At 38.1% G+C, this 20,664-nt stretch overlaps 1 protein-coding gene across 21 annotated transcripts in view; it reads right to left on the bottom strand.

Moving 5' to 3' along the window:
• FRYL (FRY like transcription coactivator) overlaps positions 1-20,664 on the bottom strand; it is a 282,923-nt gene that overhangs the window by 44,459 nt on the left and 217,800 nt on the right. For 16 of the 21 annotated variants that reach the window (XR_007096393.1, XM_024453991.2, XM_024453993.2 and 13 more), the window contains 13 exons: positions 19,653-19,821; positions 15,638-15,897; positions 15,163-15,303; positions 11,400-11,568; positions 9,679-9,763; positions 8,777-8,889; positions 7,658-7,808; positions 6,875-6,978; positions 5,769-5,954; positions 4,252-4,456; positions 2,968-3,089; positions 1,992-2,182; positions 212-306 (listed from right to left, as the gene is read on the bottom strand). Coding sequence is in view for 20 of the 21 variants with exons in the window: in XM_024453991.2 (XP_024309759.1) it covers positions 212-306; positions 1,992-2,182; positions 2,968-3,089; positions 4,252-4,456; positions 5,769-5,954; positions 6,875-6,978; positions 7,658-7,808; positions 8,777-8,889; positions 9,679-9,763; positions 11,400-11,568; positions 15,163-15,303; positions 15,638-15,897; positions 19,653-19,821 (1,991 nt within the window). In the remaining variant the exon portion in view is untranslated. Of the gene's footprint in view, positions 1-211; positions 307-1,991; positions 2,183-2,967; positions 3,090-4,251; positions 4,457-5,768; positions 5,955-6,874; positions 6,979-7,657; positions 7,809-8,776; positions 8,890-9,678; positions 9,764-11,399; positions 11,569-15,162; positions 15,304-15,637; positions 15,898-19,652; positions 19,822-20,664 lie in introns of those variants that run through there. The other 5 variants (XM_047450098.1, XM_047450097.1, XM_047450095.1 and 2 more) reach the window with 2 other exon arrangements.

The following is a 20,664-nucleotide window of genomic DNA, read 5'->3' on the forward strand; positions in this document are numbered from 1 at the left end:
CCAGCACATTAGAAGAAGAACAGCACTGCTAAAATCAGCACTTGGATTTTTCACAAGTCCTCACTGTCTGCGGCCCATCTCCCCACTGGTAATCCATCTAATTTGGGCAGTATTGTGCTTACTAACAATATTAGAATTTTAAAAGTTATAGCTATATGTAGTTAGCTATTCAAGTTCTCTCTATATTAGGTTGCCTGGTTTAAATTCTTACTGAGAAAGGGCAGAAAGAAGATCATAATGCTTCATGGTTTCAGCCAAAGTATCAATTGCAGATTCCAATGTGAGAAGAAGCTCAATCACAAATCCCTGGGGGGAAAAAGGCAGATTTTAATTAATTATGCTCTGGAATAAAGAAACTGCAATGGACTTCCTAATGGGATTTTAAAATAGAACAAACTCCATGTTATGTTACAAAATGATTAAACTCTTGAGCAACATGATCTTGCTGATTGATGCAAACTCATCCAATCAATGGTGTATAAATTGATTGTAATGGTGCCACAATTTACTCAAAATTGCTCAGGTCAGAAATCTAGGAACCATCCTTGTTTCTTTCACATCTAAACTGAATCCACCAGCAAGTCTTGAAAATATTACTTTTGTTTGTTTGTTTGTATTTGAGACGTAGTCTTGCTCTATTGCCCAGGCTGGAGTGCAGTGGTGCAATCTTGGCTCAATGCAACCTCTGCCTCCCGGATTCAAGTGATTCTCCTGCCTCAGCCTCCCGAGTAGCTGGGACTACAGGCATGCGCCTGCACACCTAGCTAATTTTTGTATTTTTAGTAGAGACAGATTTCGCCATGTTGGCCAGGGTGGTCTCGAACTCTTGATCTCAGGTGATCCACCCGTTTCAGCCTCCCAAAGTGCTGGGATTATAGGTGTGAGCCACAGTGCCTGGCTGAAAATATCACTTTTAAAATACACATTAAAAATCTGACCACTTTCCTCTACCTCCATAACTTCCCTTAATCTAAGCTACCACCATTTCAGCTGGACTCTTAACCTCCTGCCCTCTCTTGCCTCCACTCTTGCCCTCCCTACAGATTTCACCCCAATGTCAGAATGAGTTTTTTAAAAAAGAAATCACATCCATCACCTTCCTTCCCTCAAAATGTCTGAGTAGTTTCCCATCAATTCAGAGTGAAGTCCTGCCTCTTACCAGGGCTTACTAGGCCTTACGTGATTTGAACCTACCTACCTCATCAATTTCCTGCAACACATCCTGCAATGTATTCTAGCGACACCAATTTTCTTGATGTTCCTCAGAAAAGCCCTACTGCTTCTGCCTCAGGACCTTTGCACCTGTTAGTCCTATTTTCCTATGCCTGAAATATTCTTCCCCAGATCATAAACAGAACCTACTTCATTTCAGTATCTCTTCAAAAATCACCTTCTCAGATGGATTATCATATGTAAAACAATTCCTTCTCCTTTAATCTTATTATCTTATTATATTCACAGCATTATCAGTAGGATAAATTATGTTATGTATAATTGGAAGACTAAAGGTTTGTTTCCCTCAATAGAATATGAGCTCTAGAATGTTAGGAACTTTGTCTCATTGATCACTGTATCCCTGATATTTATAACAGCGTTAATAAAGTCATTCATCTGTACAAACTGAAGTTCTCTAGTGCAACAGTTCATTTATCTTAAAGCATAAAATTCAATGCTCCACTTTACATTTAAATTTAACTTCCTATCTTTTTTACCTTGTGATCATCCCAGGTTAAGATCTTGGGGGTGGGGTGTTGTGTGAGTGGGCGAGTGTAAAGCTTTTTCTGATAGGCACTAGAATAGTTGATTTAATTAGTAGGTTATTTGATATTAATTACAAAACTAACTTTGTCTCTTAATTCTTTGCCTGCTCAACATCTGACTATAATTCTAGATGCCCATTATCTTGCTCTAGCTATAGCAATCTATATGGACAATAAATCCTTGACAACTAGTAGCTGCTCAATAACTGCTGAAAGAATATAAGGAAATACCTGTGCATCTTCTCCTGGATCCCCTACAGTTTCTACAAGTCTGGAGAGAACATCAGAAAGTGTAGTTGCAGTGAGAGGCTGCTTTAGGGCCCTGAAAATCTGAAAGGATCTCCCAGCATAGTGTCGAGAAGAACAGGAAAGTGCTGTTTGCAGAGCAACTTCACTAAGATGATGTTCCAGATGAATTCCTTCTGTGAATGCAAAGGAAACGAGTAGGTTGTTCTTGTTCTTTAGAATACTAATGGGGTTATAATCAGAAGTGAATCATCTTAAAGCTAGCAGCTAGCACACTTCCTGGCTCTCACATTTTATAAGTCAATGCTTTTTCTTTGCTTAAACTCCATTTGCATTTTAGATGACCCTTTAATCTTTACGGAAGCAATCCTTCAGACCAGGGTTTCTCAACCTTGGCACTACTGACCTTATAAGCCAGAAAATTCTTTGCTGGAAGGGCTGCCCTGAGCAGGGTATGATGTTTAGCAGTGTCTCTGGCCTCAACCCACCAGATACCAGTAGTAACCCCTTGCCCCCAACCCATAACGGTGACACTGTCTCTAGACATTGCCAAATGTCCCCTAGTTGAGAACCACTGCTCTAGACATATACAATTTGACTATGATTTTCAGAATGTGTTGAATTTTAGATTACTGAAGACTATACCAGCACAATTTTTTTTAAGTTTCCAATTTCTATATACGTCCGTTTAATGTATTTTTTCATAATACGCAATTGTATTGTAATTTTATGATGCCATCAAACACAAAACTAAGGAGCCTAGCATTTCATAGATAGCACTCATTTTTAAGTAGTAACTTAATTTTTCTTCAGTGAAAACAGATCTGTTATCATTAATAAATTAAAAGTCTAAAACTTTTAGAGGTATCACAATATCAACTATTAACTTTTTGCTAAGCATTATCAGAAATTGACATCACATTAAAATGTCACTAAAACTAAAATATTTCTTAAAAGATACCTGAGCTTGACTGCTTAAAAACAGAAACCACATGTTTCAAAAATGTAGTTAACTGTTCAGCACTCTTTATGCTAGGATTCTTGGCAGAAACATCCTCATGGTTCCAAAGGGGCCCTCTTTTTCTGAAAACAGAGAACAGATGTAATTTCCTTGGATTTTCACTTGTGATTAACAGTTGTACTCACACTTGCCTAAATTACACCTTTACAATTAGAAAGGATGGTAGTTGAATAAATAGGTCACAGTCTACTACTACTTAGGCACATGAATATGTAATGATCTACAGCAAGGAGAGAAAGATCTCATTTCAGTGTCTAGCAACAGACCAGTCAAATTCTCTCAGACGTAGTAGAAAAAGATGCCAAATTTTGCCAAGTGTGAAGCATATTGGTTACTGCTTATGTGTTCCAGGTCAAAATATAATCTGTATTTAGATTGTAATGCAAAGAAAATAATTTGCTGGTGAAATGCAATGAGAATAATTTACTAGCTAAAACTACAGGGAAAGTTTAGGACAGAGTAATGTCCTCTTGATTCTTTCTTCAAAACGTCTTTGTGTTCTTGGCCACCACCTCAGTTAAGCTCTTTATTAACACAGGCCCAAAGTGCCCTGAGAACCTGCTACGCACTGCTTCTGGTTCCTTCCACCTCTAATGCATCCTACACGCTGTTATGGGGCTGATTTTCTCCACATACTTATTAAATGATGCCTCCCACCCTCCTCCCAGCTTAATGATTTTCAATATAATCTACAACCTTATGGCCTGGGCTTCATGGCCCGCCAGTTTGAACTCTCCCAAGCTTTCCATAATTGTCTAGAACAACTCTCTTTTCTCTGCATTACAGTCAGAGTGGATTCCTCACCATTTCCAAACACATGGTTTTCTTGTGCTCCTGTGATTTTGTTCTTGCAATGGAATACCATGCCCTTTCTCCCCACCTATATTCCCTCTCTACTTATTGTGTCTTGCAAAGAGTAGACCATAAATAAATATTTGATGACTGAATGATAATGTAGCTAATAAAAGTGAAATATATATTCAGATAATACTCATTCTCTTTGGCCATTAAATAGCCAGATATGATTAAAGTCCTGAGGTATAACTGCACTGGCACAAAAGAGTCTTTGATTGCATCCTAATTTTCAAAATACTGTGCAATACAAACCTGTGTATTTCACATCAATGGTATTTCAGACAACAAAAATATGGCTCATAATACCTGATCAATGAAAGAATGACTTAACACATACACTGCTGGGATGATAAGAGCTGCCAGTGTTACCTTGAGGTAATGAATTCCATGAGGGTTTTGACTTTTCCATCCTGCTCCACTGAGATGTCAACCTCATTGAGGATAGTGGTGTGCAGATGTGAAATGGCAGCACTGTTATTTCCTAAGCTGATACTAGAAGAGGTAGAACTTGAGCTAAGCCCTGAGTCAGTCATAGGGGAGGGCTGGTAATCAGGTATAAAATCGTTAATGCCTGCTGAAAGAGAAAGATCGTCATGAATACCTAAAACATGAAAGAATCTCACAAAATACCTATAGAATTAAACTGTTGTTCCTTAGACTCTATGGGACACATGAGGCAATCTGTCAGTGCAAGGTGATGTGAATCAGTGCTCCTGCTGATCCTCATGAACACCAAATTACAGCAAGTAAGTTTTGGGGCAAACATTGTTTCACAGCTTGAAAACTTAGCAATTTGGATGTACTATGCAGTCCTCTGCCGCCATCTGCTGAAGAAACTTGCAAGTGGCAGTTTCCTAATATTCTGGCATATTTTGTCAACATCGCTTGTCAGTCACATTTCTATAATATGAACTGATTTTTAACTTTTTATAGAAAATTTTCTATAATTTTTGATCCATTTCCATTGCAGAAAGGCTCATCTATCTGAAATACACATAGTGCATCAATCATTTTTTAAAAAACTGTTAAAGGTTATTACTAATGCCCATATTTACAAATTGGTAAGAGAAGCCTTAAAAACAAACAAGCTATGGAATTTTGAATAATGGTGCCTTAATATAAAAAGGCAGTAAACTTCATTCCATTTTTCTTTTAATCATAGTTTTAAAAGGCTAATAAGTTTCCTAATAATTGTTTCCTAACTATAGGATTTTAAATAAATAACAGGGTTTTAACTAACTTTAAAATTGATGAACCCTGTATCTGACACTGTATGATTAGAAAAAAAAAAGGTAATTTTATTGCAATTTTGAAAAAAAAGTTTCTAGATCACTTGTTATTAGCCTGATGGTACTGATGAATGAAAGAAATGTTAGTTATAGGATATAAGAAAATATACCTTAAAAGTAAAAAACAAAAATTAACATTGACAGTGAAATAAACCATATTAAGTCTCATTAACTTGGACTTCACTACTTCAAAATGTATGTTTTTAATGCAGTAAATATAATCACGAGAATAACAAAATTTAAAATGCCTTACTTTATCAGTTTTCAGATCCTGCAAATAAGAGGAATCTAATACAAGCTCAACATCTTTTTCGTAATTCGTCCTCAATAAATTAAGCAGTTTCATTATGTCTTCAACTTACATATTCCTAAGTTAAATCTCGATAAAGATCGTTCGAGGTAATGCAGACTCAAATATTTTAAATTTAATCCCTTCTTTTATTAGCAAATAATTTAAATGGTACTTAAAATAATACAACTACATTTTTAAAATGTTCTCTAGTATTTCAACTTTTATTCAGTTGACTTTCTCTAATGCAGGATTCCAAATTAATAAAGTATAATTCTACTTTCAAATTGTACATTTAAAGCAAATACCTGTGAAATTATAATCTAAGTGTGCAACTTGTTTGACTGTAAGCACCCTGGGCTCATTAAACTCCTTGTTCCTGAGAAGGACAGAAGCAACAGTTCGGATGTTACTATTGGGTCCCATTACTATTAATAAGTGCAGAAGCAGGCGTTTACAATGTTCATACACCTCAGGGTGGCAGTGGTCAAACCCTAAAAAGGATAGTAGAGAAACATTATCAATAAAGAGAAATAATGAGTATTCTTACTACCAAACTCACATTTTGAAGAAAAGGAGAAATTATATGAAAGATTTCATGGAAGGTGACATATTATATGGTTTTTTATTGCCCTAGAGTTCTTATATACTTTTACAATAGCCTACTGTCTTATAGTACTAGGGAGACTCAAGGTAAGCTAAATGTGTTTCATGTCTAAAATTTAGTGATCTCTTAAAAATTATTTCTGTTACATAACATAAAAAAATTCATGGAAATGAATTTTTTTTTTTAAAGGCAGGGTTTTTTGTGTGCTTAGCACATAACAGAAAGTACATGATTAACTGAAGGAATGATGTAATACACCAACATTAAGTGTGCCCATCAGGAAAACTTATAAGGAGATGGCTATCTGGACTTGCTTCAGGAAGCCAATCCTATAAGCATCAAATGTATTATAGATATGGTAGATCCCACATGTTTGCTACAGAAGGCACGATGGAGTTTCAGGTATAATAATGAGGCTATCCAACAACCCAGTTCTTTTGGGAAATACTTAGAACCTATCTCAACTTTTCATTCACTCTGAAAGTTTCCAATCCCAGAGTTAAGTTAATTTGACTCTTGCCACAGCCACAGAATTTTTCCTTGGTATAGTATATGTGTGTTTGTGTGTGGGCAGGCGAGGCCATAAGATAGGAATAGGAATGGGGGTAATAGACATGTTTGTTTGTGGTTAGAAGAGGGGCCAGACATAACTCCCCAAGAGACCAGAGGAATCATAGTGAAAAGTGTCATGGAAATAACATAAAAATAACAGGAAACAGAAACACATAAAAACTGTCATAAAACCATACTGCTTTTAAATTATCATAAAAATATAACATGAAAGAATTAGAACCAAATATTTATTACCTATAAAAATTGCATGAAGAAGAAGATGGAGGTAGCTTCCCCATTCCACCTTCACACTATGATCAATGATGAGATCAGTCAAAAGGATCACTGCTATGTTACACCTATGACAAATAAGAGTTTCATTAACGTTTTACTAGATCTCAGTAAACCTAGAGAGAATTTGGTACAAAATTACTTGAAGACTTTAATATCACATTTCATGGAAAAATACAACTTATCAAGGAAAAAGGAGGAAAAACAAATACAGCTGAAGAAAACGTTAACCATTAAGTTAAAGAGATGGAACAGAACATAAGGGCTAAGGGTTCCTTGAACTCAGGAGCCACATTTTCTTCATCTTTCAACCTTGAGACTTAGCACACTGCTTGCCACAGTAGGTGTTCAATACATGTTTGGTGCATTAATACATTTTGAAAGAATGCAGTAATTGCTCTATTGTGATTTTGCTAAGTAGAATTCAATTTAACTCGATGCAAAATAATAGTGCCTACCATAGGAAAGTCATATTTTTCAGATGTAGTAACTGGGTCCCAGAAAGGTCAAGTAACTATGCCAGACACCCAGAAAAGCAGCAGCAGAATTAGATTTAATAATATTAATTTTATAAAGTTAGAATTCTGAGTTTTTTAGATTTCTTAGAATCTAAACACATTGATCTGTGTTGCAGTATCTCCATAAAGAAGATTGCTTTCATTCTGTGTTGTCAGATAGCACAAAGAAAGCCGACAGTGTTCAGCAGCAACTTGGTGCATATGTAAAAGGAATGACGCTGTAGTCCACCTGTGAAGAGGTAATCCAGGTGATGACGTTTCAGGCACGTAATCCACCAGTGGTGACCAGCAGCCTCCAGCTGGTGGGAAGGGCAGTGGCTCTCCTTGGTTATGCTCCATCACTTTCAGTCGCCAATTAGAATAAAGTGGCATTGAATCACCTATCAAGATAAAATGATCTCATTTTCTACACCATCTAATTTCTGCCAATATAAGCAAACTCTAGTAAGATCCCAACTATTTATATAGTATTGGAAAGTGATAAAAAAAATTTCCCACTATTTCAACATGTTTGCTAGGAAAATCTAGGCACAAATATTATCAAATTAAGCAAACCAGGGAGAGGGAGAGAGAGAAAGAGATTAATTTAGGTTCCACCCTGTACGTCAAAGCAAAACTATATTAGCACTTCATCATGATTCCATCAATGATGTCCAAGCCAGGAGATCACATTATTGGTGAAGCTGCCTTGTAACAAAGGGCCTTCTGGTAAGTTATTCAGTTCTAAATATCCTGAGATAGGGCCAACACAGCTCCATCTTGAAAGGAACTCTGCTCTACCACAGTGGGGCTGCGGGGTGCAATAAAAAATGTCAGGAAATGTGAATTCTGTGTGACGTGGGTAAGTCACTTAACCTCTCTGGACCTCAGTTCCATCATGTGCAAAATGAGGAGATTGGACCAGATCATCTTCAGTGTCCCTTCCCAGTCTGAAAGCCTGTGCTTCTATGATACCCTGCCTTAACGTTATAGTGAAACTTGGGTAGATTATTCACTTTGCAATTGCCAAGGGAGAATCTTTTAAGGAAAAAGTGAATCCATGCAGAAGGAGCAATCCTGCTAAAAAAAATCAGCCTGTTTCCAGTATTTGTTCTATGATGCTTCCTGAGAACCAGTTCTTATGTTCCTTGTGATTTATCTATAGGAAACCAGTGCTTTAAAAAAAATTTCACCCAATTACGTTGCTTCTTAAAATCAAGATGTTTCAGATTATGTTGGAACACCACTAGTGGCAGTTAAATACGCTTTTTAAAAACAATTTACTGAAAATATATATTTATTAACATTAATGTAATTAACAATACACCTCACCCTTATAGTTATATTAAAAACATTTGGAATTTATTACTTTTTTCTTCTTCATAAGATCCTCCAGAGCTGCTACTGTATCGGGATTCTAGTCTGTGATGTTGCCGATTCAAATGACTGTTTAGTCCACTGTAAATGTCCAGGTGCACATAGCTATGGGAATGATCACTGAAGTTAGTCACAGTTCACGGTGCAATGGTATTTATACTTTATGTTTCACTTTCTCTGTTTAAAAAAGGAGGACGGACGCCATGGTTCAAGCCTGTAATCCCAGCACTTTGGGAGGCCAAGGCAGGAGGATCATGAGGTCAGGAGATCGAGACCATCCTGGCCAACATGGTGAAACCCCGTGTCTACTAAAATACCAAAAATTAGCCGAGCGTGGTGACGTGTGCCTGTAGTCCCAGCTACTCCGGAGGCTGAGGCAGGAGAATTGCTTGAACCTGGGAGGCAGAGGTTGAGCTGAGATTGCACCACTGCACTCCAGTCTGGCAACAGAGCGAGACTCCATCTCAATAAAAAAAAAAAAAGGACACAGTACACAAAATACTAACAAAAGTTTACTATGACGTACATTAATTTCCACCTTATAATCCAAAAGCTTAAACTTTTAATCAATTATTTCTACCTAAAATAATATTCTGGCATACAAAACAGGTGGAGTAAATACCATTTATATAGGTCTAAAACTTTAAGCAATACAAAAAGTGACTTACCATATACCACCTATTTATACATTAGAGCATATAAAAAAATCTAGCAGGCTAGCATCTTTAATGTTGAAACTCTCAATGTGGAAAGTTTCCAGCATGGAAATATATTTTTTTCACTCGAATTTTAACACAGCAACATCCACATTTCAATGCAGAAAATATCATTTATTCTGATGACAACCAGTATCTGTCAAACTGAAAGGCTAATACAGAACAGAGAAGTACTTACCTCTCTTCAATATTCTCTTTAATGGGCTTATTATCAGGATTGCCATCTGTGGGAGCTACCATTGTATTGCTACTGGAAGTAGTTCCTGTAATCAAAGACAAAGCAGTACTCGTGAATCTACAAACCTGGAATAACCCAATAAGAACAAAAGATCTCAAATTATAGATATCAAAACTTAACTAAAATGAGAGCAAAGTCATTTAAAAAAAGGAATGTACTCATAATGACCAAAAGGGAAAGGACATAAGACAAACAAATTTTTGGATGCTAGAATACAAATGGACAGTAAGTAATTAAGTGTTAAGAAGGCTGAATCCAAAGGTGGTGGTGGGTGAAAACCAAGAAGCTTCCATGTTTATATTGCTGAACTTCCAAAAGGTAGCATCGAGAACCTCTGGAAACAGGGGTTGAAGGTGGTGCGAAAAAATAGGAAACCTGGCTGAAAGTCAATCTATTTTAGAAGTAACTGGTTCCCCAAATCTACTTTCTTGCCTCTTGCAGCTGGGTGGCTGTCTTTCCCCACTTCTAGAAGTCTTTTCTGATGAGAGTAAATCAGAAGATTCCTGAACTAGGGCACGCCATGTACTCCTGAAAGAGGAGGCACCTTACAAAGAACAGGGGCATTAAATGAAAATGCACATGCTAAAATTTGAGACTGCACCCCCCCCAACATCCTTCTTACCCCACTGGGCTTCCAGAAAGTTTGAAGCCTGTGTATATGTGTGTGTATAAATATAAACAGTCCAAAGGGGTGTGTGTGTGTGTGTGTGTGTGTGTGTGTGTGTGTGTGTTCAGACACACCCTCTGCAGGCAAATGACTAGAAAGAGTTTTCTCTAGGGAATCTGATAAATCTAGGAGAAAAGACCTACAGACGTTGGCATCACTGAAATCATGGTACGACAAAGCACACAGACAACAAGTTCCATATATACTTATAGAACTTATATTTTTTTTAATATTCTACTCTTTATGAAAAGACAGATCTAGAATTGGTAGGCTTTTGAGAAAAGTTTTATCAACACAAAACAGCAATGTAGAGAAAATGAGGACTTCTGCTGGGAGAAAACTTTATAACTGTATTGGATACGAAACAACAGTCCAACTATGAAACATGAATAGGATGCTACTTTAAAAAATTATAATTAAATGAAACTTTAGAATTAAAAACATTCTAGCCGATATGAAAAATTCAATAGAAGCATTATTAGACATCTCCTGGAAAATAAAACAAAAGGACTAGGTGATGAAAATGGATGGTAAAAAATAAATTATAAAGAGATAATTTAAAATATTTCTAGTTTTACAGATAATGTTATTAGCATGCTGAAAACATTTAAAGTAAACTGAGTAACAAAGAGTTTAACAGAAATTTCATCTACAATAGCCTTTTTACTATTTTGAATTTCATTGGATGTTCTTCTATTAGGAACATAGTTTCTTCATACTCAAAATATTACAATAATTTTAATATATGCACATACATATAGGTGTGTATATATATATACATTTAAAGACACAATAAACTCTTGTTTAACAATTATGTTAAGCTTCTCTTTCAATACTGAGGAAGATTTGTTTTTTTCTTTTAATAAATTTTATTGTATATATCTGAGATTCATAACATGTTATGGGACATAGAGACCCTAAAATGGTTACCATAGTGAAGCAGATGAAGATGTCTATCATCTCACACAGCAATCGGTTTTAACAAATTTCTCACCTGAGGTGACAGAAGGGATTTTATAGCTGGAAGTGATGCGATAATACGGGGGATTATCCATGTGAGTGACCCCTGAACTGACAGGATCGGTCAGCTGAAGCTCACTCACCAGCTCTTCTAGCAACTGCATTGTTTTATCTCTACCTAAATATACAATGACCTTCTTCACCTGTCACAAAAGAAATCGTTCAGAAAAGAAAAAGCAAAGTTTTTATCTCATTAATTTCTCCTGAGACAAACTTTATCAGAGTAAGTTCAACTTTAAGTGGTAGATGAATAAACACAATCTAAATCAAAATTAGCACTGATCAACAATAAGACATTAATCAGCTTTATCAATACTGTCCTCCCTCTAACTCTCAGCATTAGATCTAATTAGGGTGAACTGAGTATGTTTAGCGGTTTAGTGGTTTCCACTTTATGCACTTTCTTTACTTTAAAAAAAAAAAAAAAAAAAAACAAAAAAATACTTTTCTGTAAAAATTTCTCTTTTAATGGAAACACAGGTAATAACATCCTAAGATTTTCCTCTGATTTTTAGTTAGCCAGCCTCCAAACCCAGGGTTTATCTTTTATTCCGCCTTCCCCATTCCCTATAGTCAACCAGAGTAGTCATTAAGAGCAAAGAACTAGAACTAAATTAGAACTCCAACTACATTGCCTGGTTTGGAATGTGGATATACCACTTACTAACTCTATCATTGGAAAGTTGCTCTCAGTTTTCTCATCTGCAAAATGGGGGTAGTAATAGCACCTACTTCATATAGCTATTAGGAAGATTAAATGAGTTAAGGTTTATAATGCACTTTAAAAATGGCTAGTAACACAGTATAAGTAGAAAAACTTTTCAGTAGTATATACATATGTTTTAGTAATGTATATTACTGAAATAACTTCATAACTGATCAGCCTATCTCTTTTTCTCCCTATTTTAATCCTTACTACTCAAAATGTGATCCTAGCAAGACAGGCATCATCATCTGGAGTTTGCTAGAAATAGAGAATCTCAGGCCCACCCCACCTCCAGAATCAGAATGATTCGTATTTTTACAGACATATGAAAAGCACTGCTTTATATGACCCCTGGATGAATCTTAAAACATGATTTATTATATCCCAACCAAATTCTTTTTTTTTTTTTTGAGACGGAGTCTCGCTCTGTCGCCCAGGCTAGAGTGCAGTGGCACCATCGTGGCTCACTGCCACCTCTGCCTCCCCGGTTCAAGCAATTCCCCCTGCGTCAGCCTCCGAGTAGGTGGGATTACAGGTGCCTGCCGCCACACCCAGATAATTTTCGTAGTTTTAGTACAGATGGGGTTTCATCATGTTGGCCAGGCTGGTCTCGAACTCCTGACCTCAGGTGATCCTCCTGCCTTGGCCTCCCAAAGTGCTGGGATTACAGGCGTGAGCCACAGCACCAGGCCAAAACTCTTATCATGGTTACCCAGTGATAACCTTCTAGGTATGGCTCTTTACTCCATCCAATGGGCACTACTTGCTAATTCTCTCTATTTTCAGGTTCGATCTCCTCTGAGCATGCTGTGTGCATTCCTGCCTTTGTGGGTTCCTTCCGCCTGACTGTGGATCTCCGAGTTGACACTCCCAACCCTAATCCTATCAAGTCTTCAAGCCCCATCCCCCACCTTAACTCTACTCCTTTCTCCAGGAAGCTTATACTGACTTCACCATCAGATCTGGGTTGGAATTCTAGATCTATTAAGTGACAAGAGTGAGAACTTGAGGAAATTACCGTTCTCTCTGCCCTGTTTTTTCCTCTGTAAAACTGCAGTGATCTCACCAAACTCATAGATTCTGAGATTTAAATAATGTGGATGAAGTGCTTTTACCATGCCTATAATAAGCACCCATAATAAGTGCTTAAAAAATAATAACCAATAAATTATTATTGACATTTAAAAAATGGCTCCTTTTAAATTCCTGGAAAATGGCTATTCCCCAAATTTTCATTTGGCCTCTTAAAAGTATAATCCCATGCTTTTTCTAGTACTGACTCTAACTCCCCCATTCGTTCATCCAATTAATGGGCACCTTCTATGTGCCAGGCACTACACTAAATGGAAATTTAGCAGTGAATCAAATAGACAAAAACTACCATTCTTAAGGAGCCTACAATCTACTGGTTGATGCAAAATTAATGAGGTAAATAGGTAAAATATATCATGTGTTTGGTGATGATTAAGTGCCAGAAAGATCAATGAAGAAGGGAAAGGAAATGGAGTGTGTGTGTGGAGGTGGTGCATTTGCAGTTTTAGACAGGATGGGCAGCAGAAGTCCCAGTGGGCACTGCCACCTGAAGGAGGACCTGAAAGAGGTGAGGAGTGAGTAACGTGGCTAACTGGGGAAGAGAAGGCAAGTGAGTGTGAGGGCCCCGAGGAGGGAATGCCTGGTGAGAGAGGTGGAAGCAAAGGGGGCCAGCGCAGCTGAAGGGTGGGAGCACCAGACAGAATATAGGAGACACAGTCAGAGAGGTAACGTGCGGTAACGTTGTCTTGTACCATACACCTACAGTTCTCTAAGCACTTCTCAAAGGCACTATGCCTGTGGTACACCTTGGCAATGATGCTTTCAGTGACCAAGTGAACTTGGGGAATGCTGAGTAAAGCAAAGCTATCAAGTGGTTTGTTTAAAATAGAATCTGTAGAACTTTTATTTATTTATTTATTTTTATTTTATTTTTGAGATGGAGTCTCACTCTGCTGCCCAGGCTGGAGTGCAGTGGTGCAATCTTGGCTCACTGCAACCTCTGCCTCCTGGGCTCAAGCAATTCTCCTGCCTCAGCCTCCTGAGTAGCTGGGATTACAGGCATGCGCCACCACACCCGGCTAATTTTTGGATTTTTAGTAGAGATGGTGTTTTACCATGTTGGCCAGGCTGGCCTCGGACTCCTGACCTCAGGTGATCCGCCTGCCTCGGCCTCCCAAAGTGCTGGAATTATAGGCATGAGCCACTGCGCCTGGCCTGTAAGAACTTTTAGATAACATTCTGTAGGACTAGTCTTCCGTGGACCACACTTTTGGGGGATGCTGCCACGGGATAGATATCTATATCTGCATCTACAAAGACATGTGAGCATGTGTGTCCATTTAACCCTCAGGTTTCATAGTTTCATATCAAATGTGTCCTCTTGACTTGGGCAGATCTGGATGTTCCTTTCTCCCCTGGAAGGCAAAGATGTTATCTTCTTCGTTTCATATCTCTTACCATGCTTTCCCTTGCTTCCAGCAGCCTGAAGGACAATCCTACGTGCACTGAGCTCACACTCACCATCCTGTTCTCATATCTAAATGCCAGCTCTGCCTAGCAGAAACTAGAAACATCCCCAGTGTGTGGTTTCAGCTTCAATATCACTTTCTCTCAAGTGTCATCTTGAATCCTTCCAGACAGCTGTGGTTCCTAGGTTTTTTACTCTCAGAACTCTGCAATTTTTTTATAGCCTTTATCACACTATACTTTATTAGCTTACTGATTTATTCATTAAATAAATCAGATGTAGCTTCAACAAATAAATTCTGTATTACCCATCAGATTGTAATACCCAGAAGAGCACCTGGCCTGTCATAATGATAGATAACATTTGCTAACTGAATCAGTGAATAAATCCATGTGCTATTTCCTGACTGTCTTCATCCCGGCCCTTGCCTTGCCTTGCCTCTCCTGGGCAACTGCTGCCCATACTCTGACATCACAAGATACTAGTAAATATATACATATATTTTAAAATTAAATGAACTTGAATACATACGTAAGGCAAGAGGCTTGGTTCGCTATTCACCCCACAAATGCTGATCAAAAAGTGCAAAATTATTTTCAGGTTTTTGGGCCAGCCATCTGCAAGTGTGGTCCACACATTCTCCACCTCCGACCAGGCCAGTTCATCGCCATACTAGATGCAATATGCACAAAAGATACTTCAGTCATGACTGCCTATTATAAAAACCAAACTTGTCATACCATGAAATATTAAAAAATGTTTTGTACAGATAGCTTTAATCGTTTCCACACTTTACAGAAACAATAATTTCTTCCAACAAATCTAAACATAAATATAATTAATCATATATGGTTTTAGTAAAAAAAATTCATATCTAATGAGTCTTTTTTAAAGAAAGATATTTGTTTGGTTATCACAGGATTATGGAACCTCTTCATCTGTTTCTAACCACATCTACTCACTCAATAATTCTGTGCAGCAATTATAAATACAAAACTCATTTTACCTTTGCTGTCATATACATCAGATTGTTCAAAACCATTGCAGTGGCTTGTGGAGATCCCCATCCTTCTCCCCGTAACCAGCGCCTACTAGTCACCATAAGTTCTCGGTCTTTTAAGGAATCATCTTCATCTTCATCATGTCGCCTTGCTGTGGGGAGAGGTTTTAAGTCCACCAGCTCGATGTTGTTCATCCATGGTAGCAGGTAGTGCAGCATCACCTGCCGCCCAGCAGGGTGAGCTGTCTGGATTCTCTGGCTTATCTCTGAAATTGAAAACAAGTCAAAGATAACTGATGTAATTTCAGCTTCCTCTGACCCGTAATTAATTCCAACAGATTTCAGAAGCCAGATTTTATTCATTTTACTCATTACACTTAACAATTATGAGTATTGTTTTTCCTTTTAGCAAATTTCACCTCAACGACATCATAAAATTAACAGCTAACATAAATCACATACATTTTATACAAAATACTTTTGGCAGTTAAAATAAATGTTTGTGCACTGTTGGTGGCATTGTAAAATGGTGCATACTTTCTGGGAAACAGTATGATGGTTCCTCAAAAAAATAAAAATAGAACTATCATATGATCCAGCAACCCCACTTCTGAGTATACATTGAAAAAAATTGAAAGCAGAAACTCAAACAAATATTTGTACATCCATGTTCATTAACAGCACAATTCACAATAGCCAAGAGGTAGGTGGAAGCAACCTAAATGTCCATTGACAGATGAATGAATAAACCAAATGTATATACATATAGTGGAATATTATGCACCCTTAAAAAAGGGAAAACAGGAAAGAAATCCTGTCATATGCCACAACGGGGCTGAAGCTTGATGACATTATGTTACCTGAAATAAGCCAATCACAAACAAAAATACAAATCAACATATATGTATGATTCCACATATATGGAGTACCTAAAGTAGTCAAATCCATAGAAACACAAAGTAGAATTCTGATTACCAGAGCTTGGGGGCAGAGGGAAAAGCAGGATTGTTGTTTAGTGGGTATAGACTTTTCAGTTCTGCAGGATGAAAAAGTTCTAGAGGTCTATTTCACAACAATGTGAATACACTAAACAATTCTGGAACTTAACTGCATACTTGAAAATGATTAAGATGGCAAATTTTATGCTTTTTTATCACAATGAACAAAAACGTAATCAAAAGATAAAAGAACATCTTTATACACAGATTAATTTTAAATTGACCCATTAGGAACCTCACAAATTTTGGTTCTATATAGGGGAGATGCCTATGATGTGCCTGTTACTTTTACATTCAGATCCTTTAATGCTCATGACAAACCTGTGAGGTGGGCGGAGTCAGAGTAATTTGCTGAACAATTACCAAATGGCCAAGATTCAAACCACAAGGACAATTCCAAAGCCCGTGAGCCTTTTATACGTTGTTTAATTTCCATAAATCACCATAAACAAAAATCTTCTTTCTCCTTTGCTCCTCTCTTTCCATGCTAGACCCTGTACTTACTTACTCATTAAGAGAAGTGTTTTAGAACTTGGCTCTGGAATTGCACAACCCTGGGTTTGAATCCCACAGATCTACCACATATAGATAGCCTGACCTAGGGCTAACCTATCAACCTCTGATCCTTGATTTCTTATTCGGTAAAAAGAAAGTAACAAAACTAGTTGCCTCATGAAGTTATTGTGCAAATCCAATATAATGCCAATGAAGTGCTCAGTCCTGGCATGCAATTATGCTCAACCTTAACCTTCTACAAAGATTCTATCAAGACATCAATTTTATTACCTCTGGTATAAAAGACATGGAGCTCAGAAAGTAGTTGAATGAAGAGATCCTGACTATGGAAGGAAGAGTCTGTCTGTGGGTATAGGGGTCACGGTGTGGTTTGACTTCCTGGAGGGAGATGAGATGATAGGAGGTGGGGGCCCGAGACGGTACCCTAGTAACACTAACACTTAAGATATGGGGCTGGGTGCGGTGGCTCATGTCTGTAATCCTAAGTATTTTGAGAGGCTGGGGTGGGAGGATCCCCTGGGCCAGGAGTTGGAGACCAGACTGGGTAACAGCCAGATCCTCTCTCTCCAAAAAAAAAAAAAAAAAAAAAAAGCCAGGTGTGGTGCCGCACACCTGTAGTCCCAGCTACTGGGGAGGTTGAGGGAAGATGATGGCTTTGTGGGGGGAAGGGAGGGAGAGAGGAAGAGGGAGGGAGGGAGGGAGGGAGAGAGGAAGAGGGGGAGGGGGATAGGGGGTGGGGGAGAGGGAGAGAGAGAGACTCTGTCTCAAAAATAAAAAACAGAAAAAAAGGGACGGAAGGCAAGAATCTACCAAAAGAGACAGAAAAGGAATACTCAACGGTAGAAGAAAAAGCAGGAAATATTAAGTTTTTGGAAATTAAGTGAGATCAGAGCTTAAAGAAATATAAGATGGCTAACACCAATTGCTGTGGAAAGTAGCAAACAGACTGAAGACTATTAGCCAGTGACTAGACTGAGCACTTGGAAGGTACCTGGTGAGGCTACAGAAAGGAAATTGATACTAGTGGAGTGTGAAGGCCATCTGTGAAGATCTAAGGCATGCAGGAGGACTGAGAATATGGAATAGTGAGTGTATATACTCGAGGCAAGGCACAGGGGTGAGGAAGGGGTTAGGAGCAGGTGTGAAGGAGGGAAAGGATGTGAGGAGCAAGAATGGGAAGGGCCTCAGAGCTGACAACATTTAGAGACCATTGCATTGAATCTGGAGAAAGAAAGGATCAGGGCCCTCAAATTTTAAAGTGGCAAAGTTTATGCTGATACCTGTATCTGTGCAGTAAAATTCTGAATGAATATTGTGTTTGTCTTGCCTTAGAAACAGTGAAAGTGAAAATGTAGGTTAGCTATGGAATTTGTCAGGTTGAGAGGCTGTTTTGGTTTAGAATGAACTATCTTAAGCAAAGGAGTTAAAATTAGCTGATGCTAAGGACAAGAGTGTCTGAAGAGAGAACTGAAGGAAGAATGACAAGGTGGTGGGGGTGTGGGCATGGTGGACACCTGTACCAGCACACATCCTAGGCGATGACATGACATTCTAAACAGTTACATGATCTCTTGAGACCCAGCTGGACTCCTCTACTTTCTGTGCAAAAGCCTCTAGCAGCAGCTCAGCAGCCACAAAATCTGTGTTCACGGCGGCCGCTATTTTGTGTTGATGATCACTCATATTCATCTTGGAAGGGCTGTCACGGATGCGGGGGTTGGGAAAAAGGAAGAGGCATTGCTACCAACTACCAGGGCAAACCAAACAGGTCAACTGCTTTCAAGAACTAAATGTTATGAGAATTTAAGTTGTTGTTATTGCTTTTTTCTCCCACTCAGGTCAATTAGGGATGGGAAATAAACTATTTCTATTGCTAAAATAGGTGCTGTGCAAAGATCCCAAGCCAGCTAAGTCCACTATCTCTTGAGCCCAAATGAAATAAAGGACCCACAGCAGAACTCTGCAATCTCCCAGATCCCAGTGTTGGAGCATGGCCAGTACTTACACTGGAACAAGATCTTGATGTAGGCGACAAGCAACATGTGGGAGACTAGAAAGAGTTTTGCTCGAGGCACTGTACCACCTGCTCCTATGGTTAGGGGTTTCGCTCACGGAAAACTGCCTATAACTTTATCCCTGCCTATTTTTATTATTAAACATATGCCAATACACAAAATACAATGTATTCAAGAAGTCCTATGTCTACTAAGAAATACTTTTAAGTCACATGTGAAAAGTCGTCCCTCTTGTATTTTTTTCTTTTTGATGGAGTAGGGAGCGAAGGGAAGGTCAGGTATAAAACCCTATAAGGACGCCGTTGATAGAAAAACCTAAATATTGTGACTGATCAGAATTAAGAGTTCTTATTGAAGAAAAAAATATTTCCTATGTAAAGACATGTCTGGTTTTGATTTAACCTGTAATTTAATAAATTTATAATTTTCTAAAAATTGTTTCTGAAGAAATGATTGACAAATAGAAACTACTAACCAGTTCATTGATCATACCTGAGAATATGGCGAGAGTTAGCTCAGGATACGCCCTTGCTAGTTCCTCGGACAACTGATAATATGAAACAGAATAGAGATGTGGTAGAGGAGACAGCTGGCTGAGTACTCCATCTGTTCTCTGAACCTCCAATTTGTGAGCATAGCGAAACATCTTCGGTTCCAGAATCTATAGGAATGTGATTCCATCAACTTAGGTTAAGATTTTATGGGTTCTCTAAAGTTTAACTATAATTTTATAATTTTTAAAAAAACTCTTCTCCCCAGCTGAGTGGAGTGGCTTATGCCTGTAATCTCAATACTTTGGAAGGCAGAGGTGGGAGGATCACTTGAGGCCAGGAGTTCCAGACTAGCCTGGCCAACATAGCAGGACCTCATCTCTACAAAAAAATTAAAAAATTAGCCAGATGTGGTGGTGTGTGCCTGTGGTCCCAGCTACTCAGGAGGCTGAGGGTGGAGGGTCACTTGAGCTCAGGAGGTAGAGGCAGCAGTGAGCCATGACTGTGCCACTGTACTCTAGCCTGGGTGACAGAGTGAGACCCTATCTCAAAAACAAAATGAAACAAAACAAACAAAAACTCTTTCTCACTAAAAGAATTTACATTCCTCGTATTTAATGCCAATGATCCAGGTTAGTAACACAGTCTGAAAATAACTCCAGCAACTTAATATACGATTACTTGAAAAAGATTTACCACTTTTCTCGCACAAAAATATGGTAGTACAATATATGCATAAGTGAAAAAAAAAAACCCTTCAAGGAGGACCTTTCGACATTACACTATTTAAAGAGCTGTACTGCTGAACTTTCCTCTTAATTAACAAAGGCATTAGGGTATAATTCCTAAGATGGATCTACTGGCATCAGAACCACTTCAGAGCCTTTGGAAAAAGCACCTACTTGAATCCTATTCTTAGCCCTTGGTTAAGATGGAAGAATCTTGCCCTATTATGAATTAGTTAAGTATTGCATACTAACAATATATCCGTGTTTGGTAAGTTAACTTTCTAA

The sequence above is a fragment of the Homo sapiens genome, chromosome 4 (assembly GCF_000001405.40).
Source record: "Homo sapiens chromosome 4, GRCh38.p14 Primary Assembly".
In the NCBI taxonomy this organism is placed as follows: domain Eukaryota; kingdom Metazoa; phylum Chordata; class Mammalia; order Primates; family Hominidae; genus Homo; species Homo sapiens.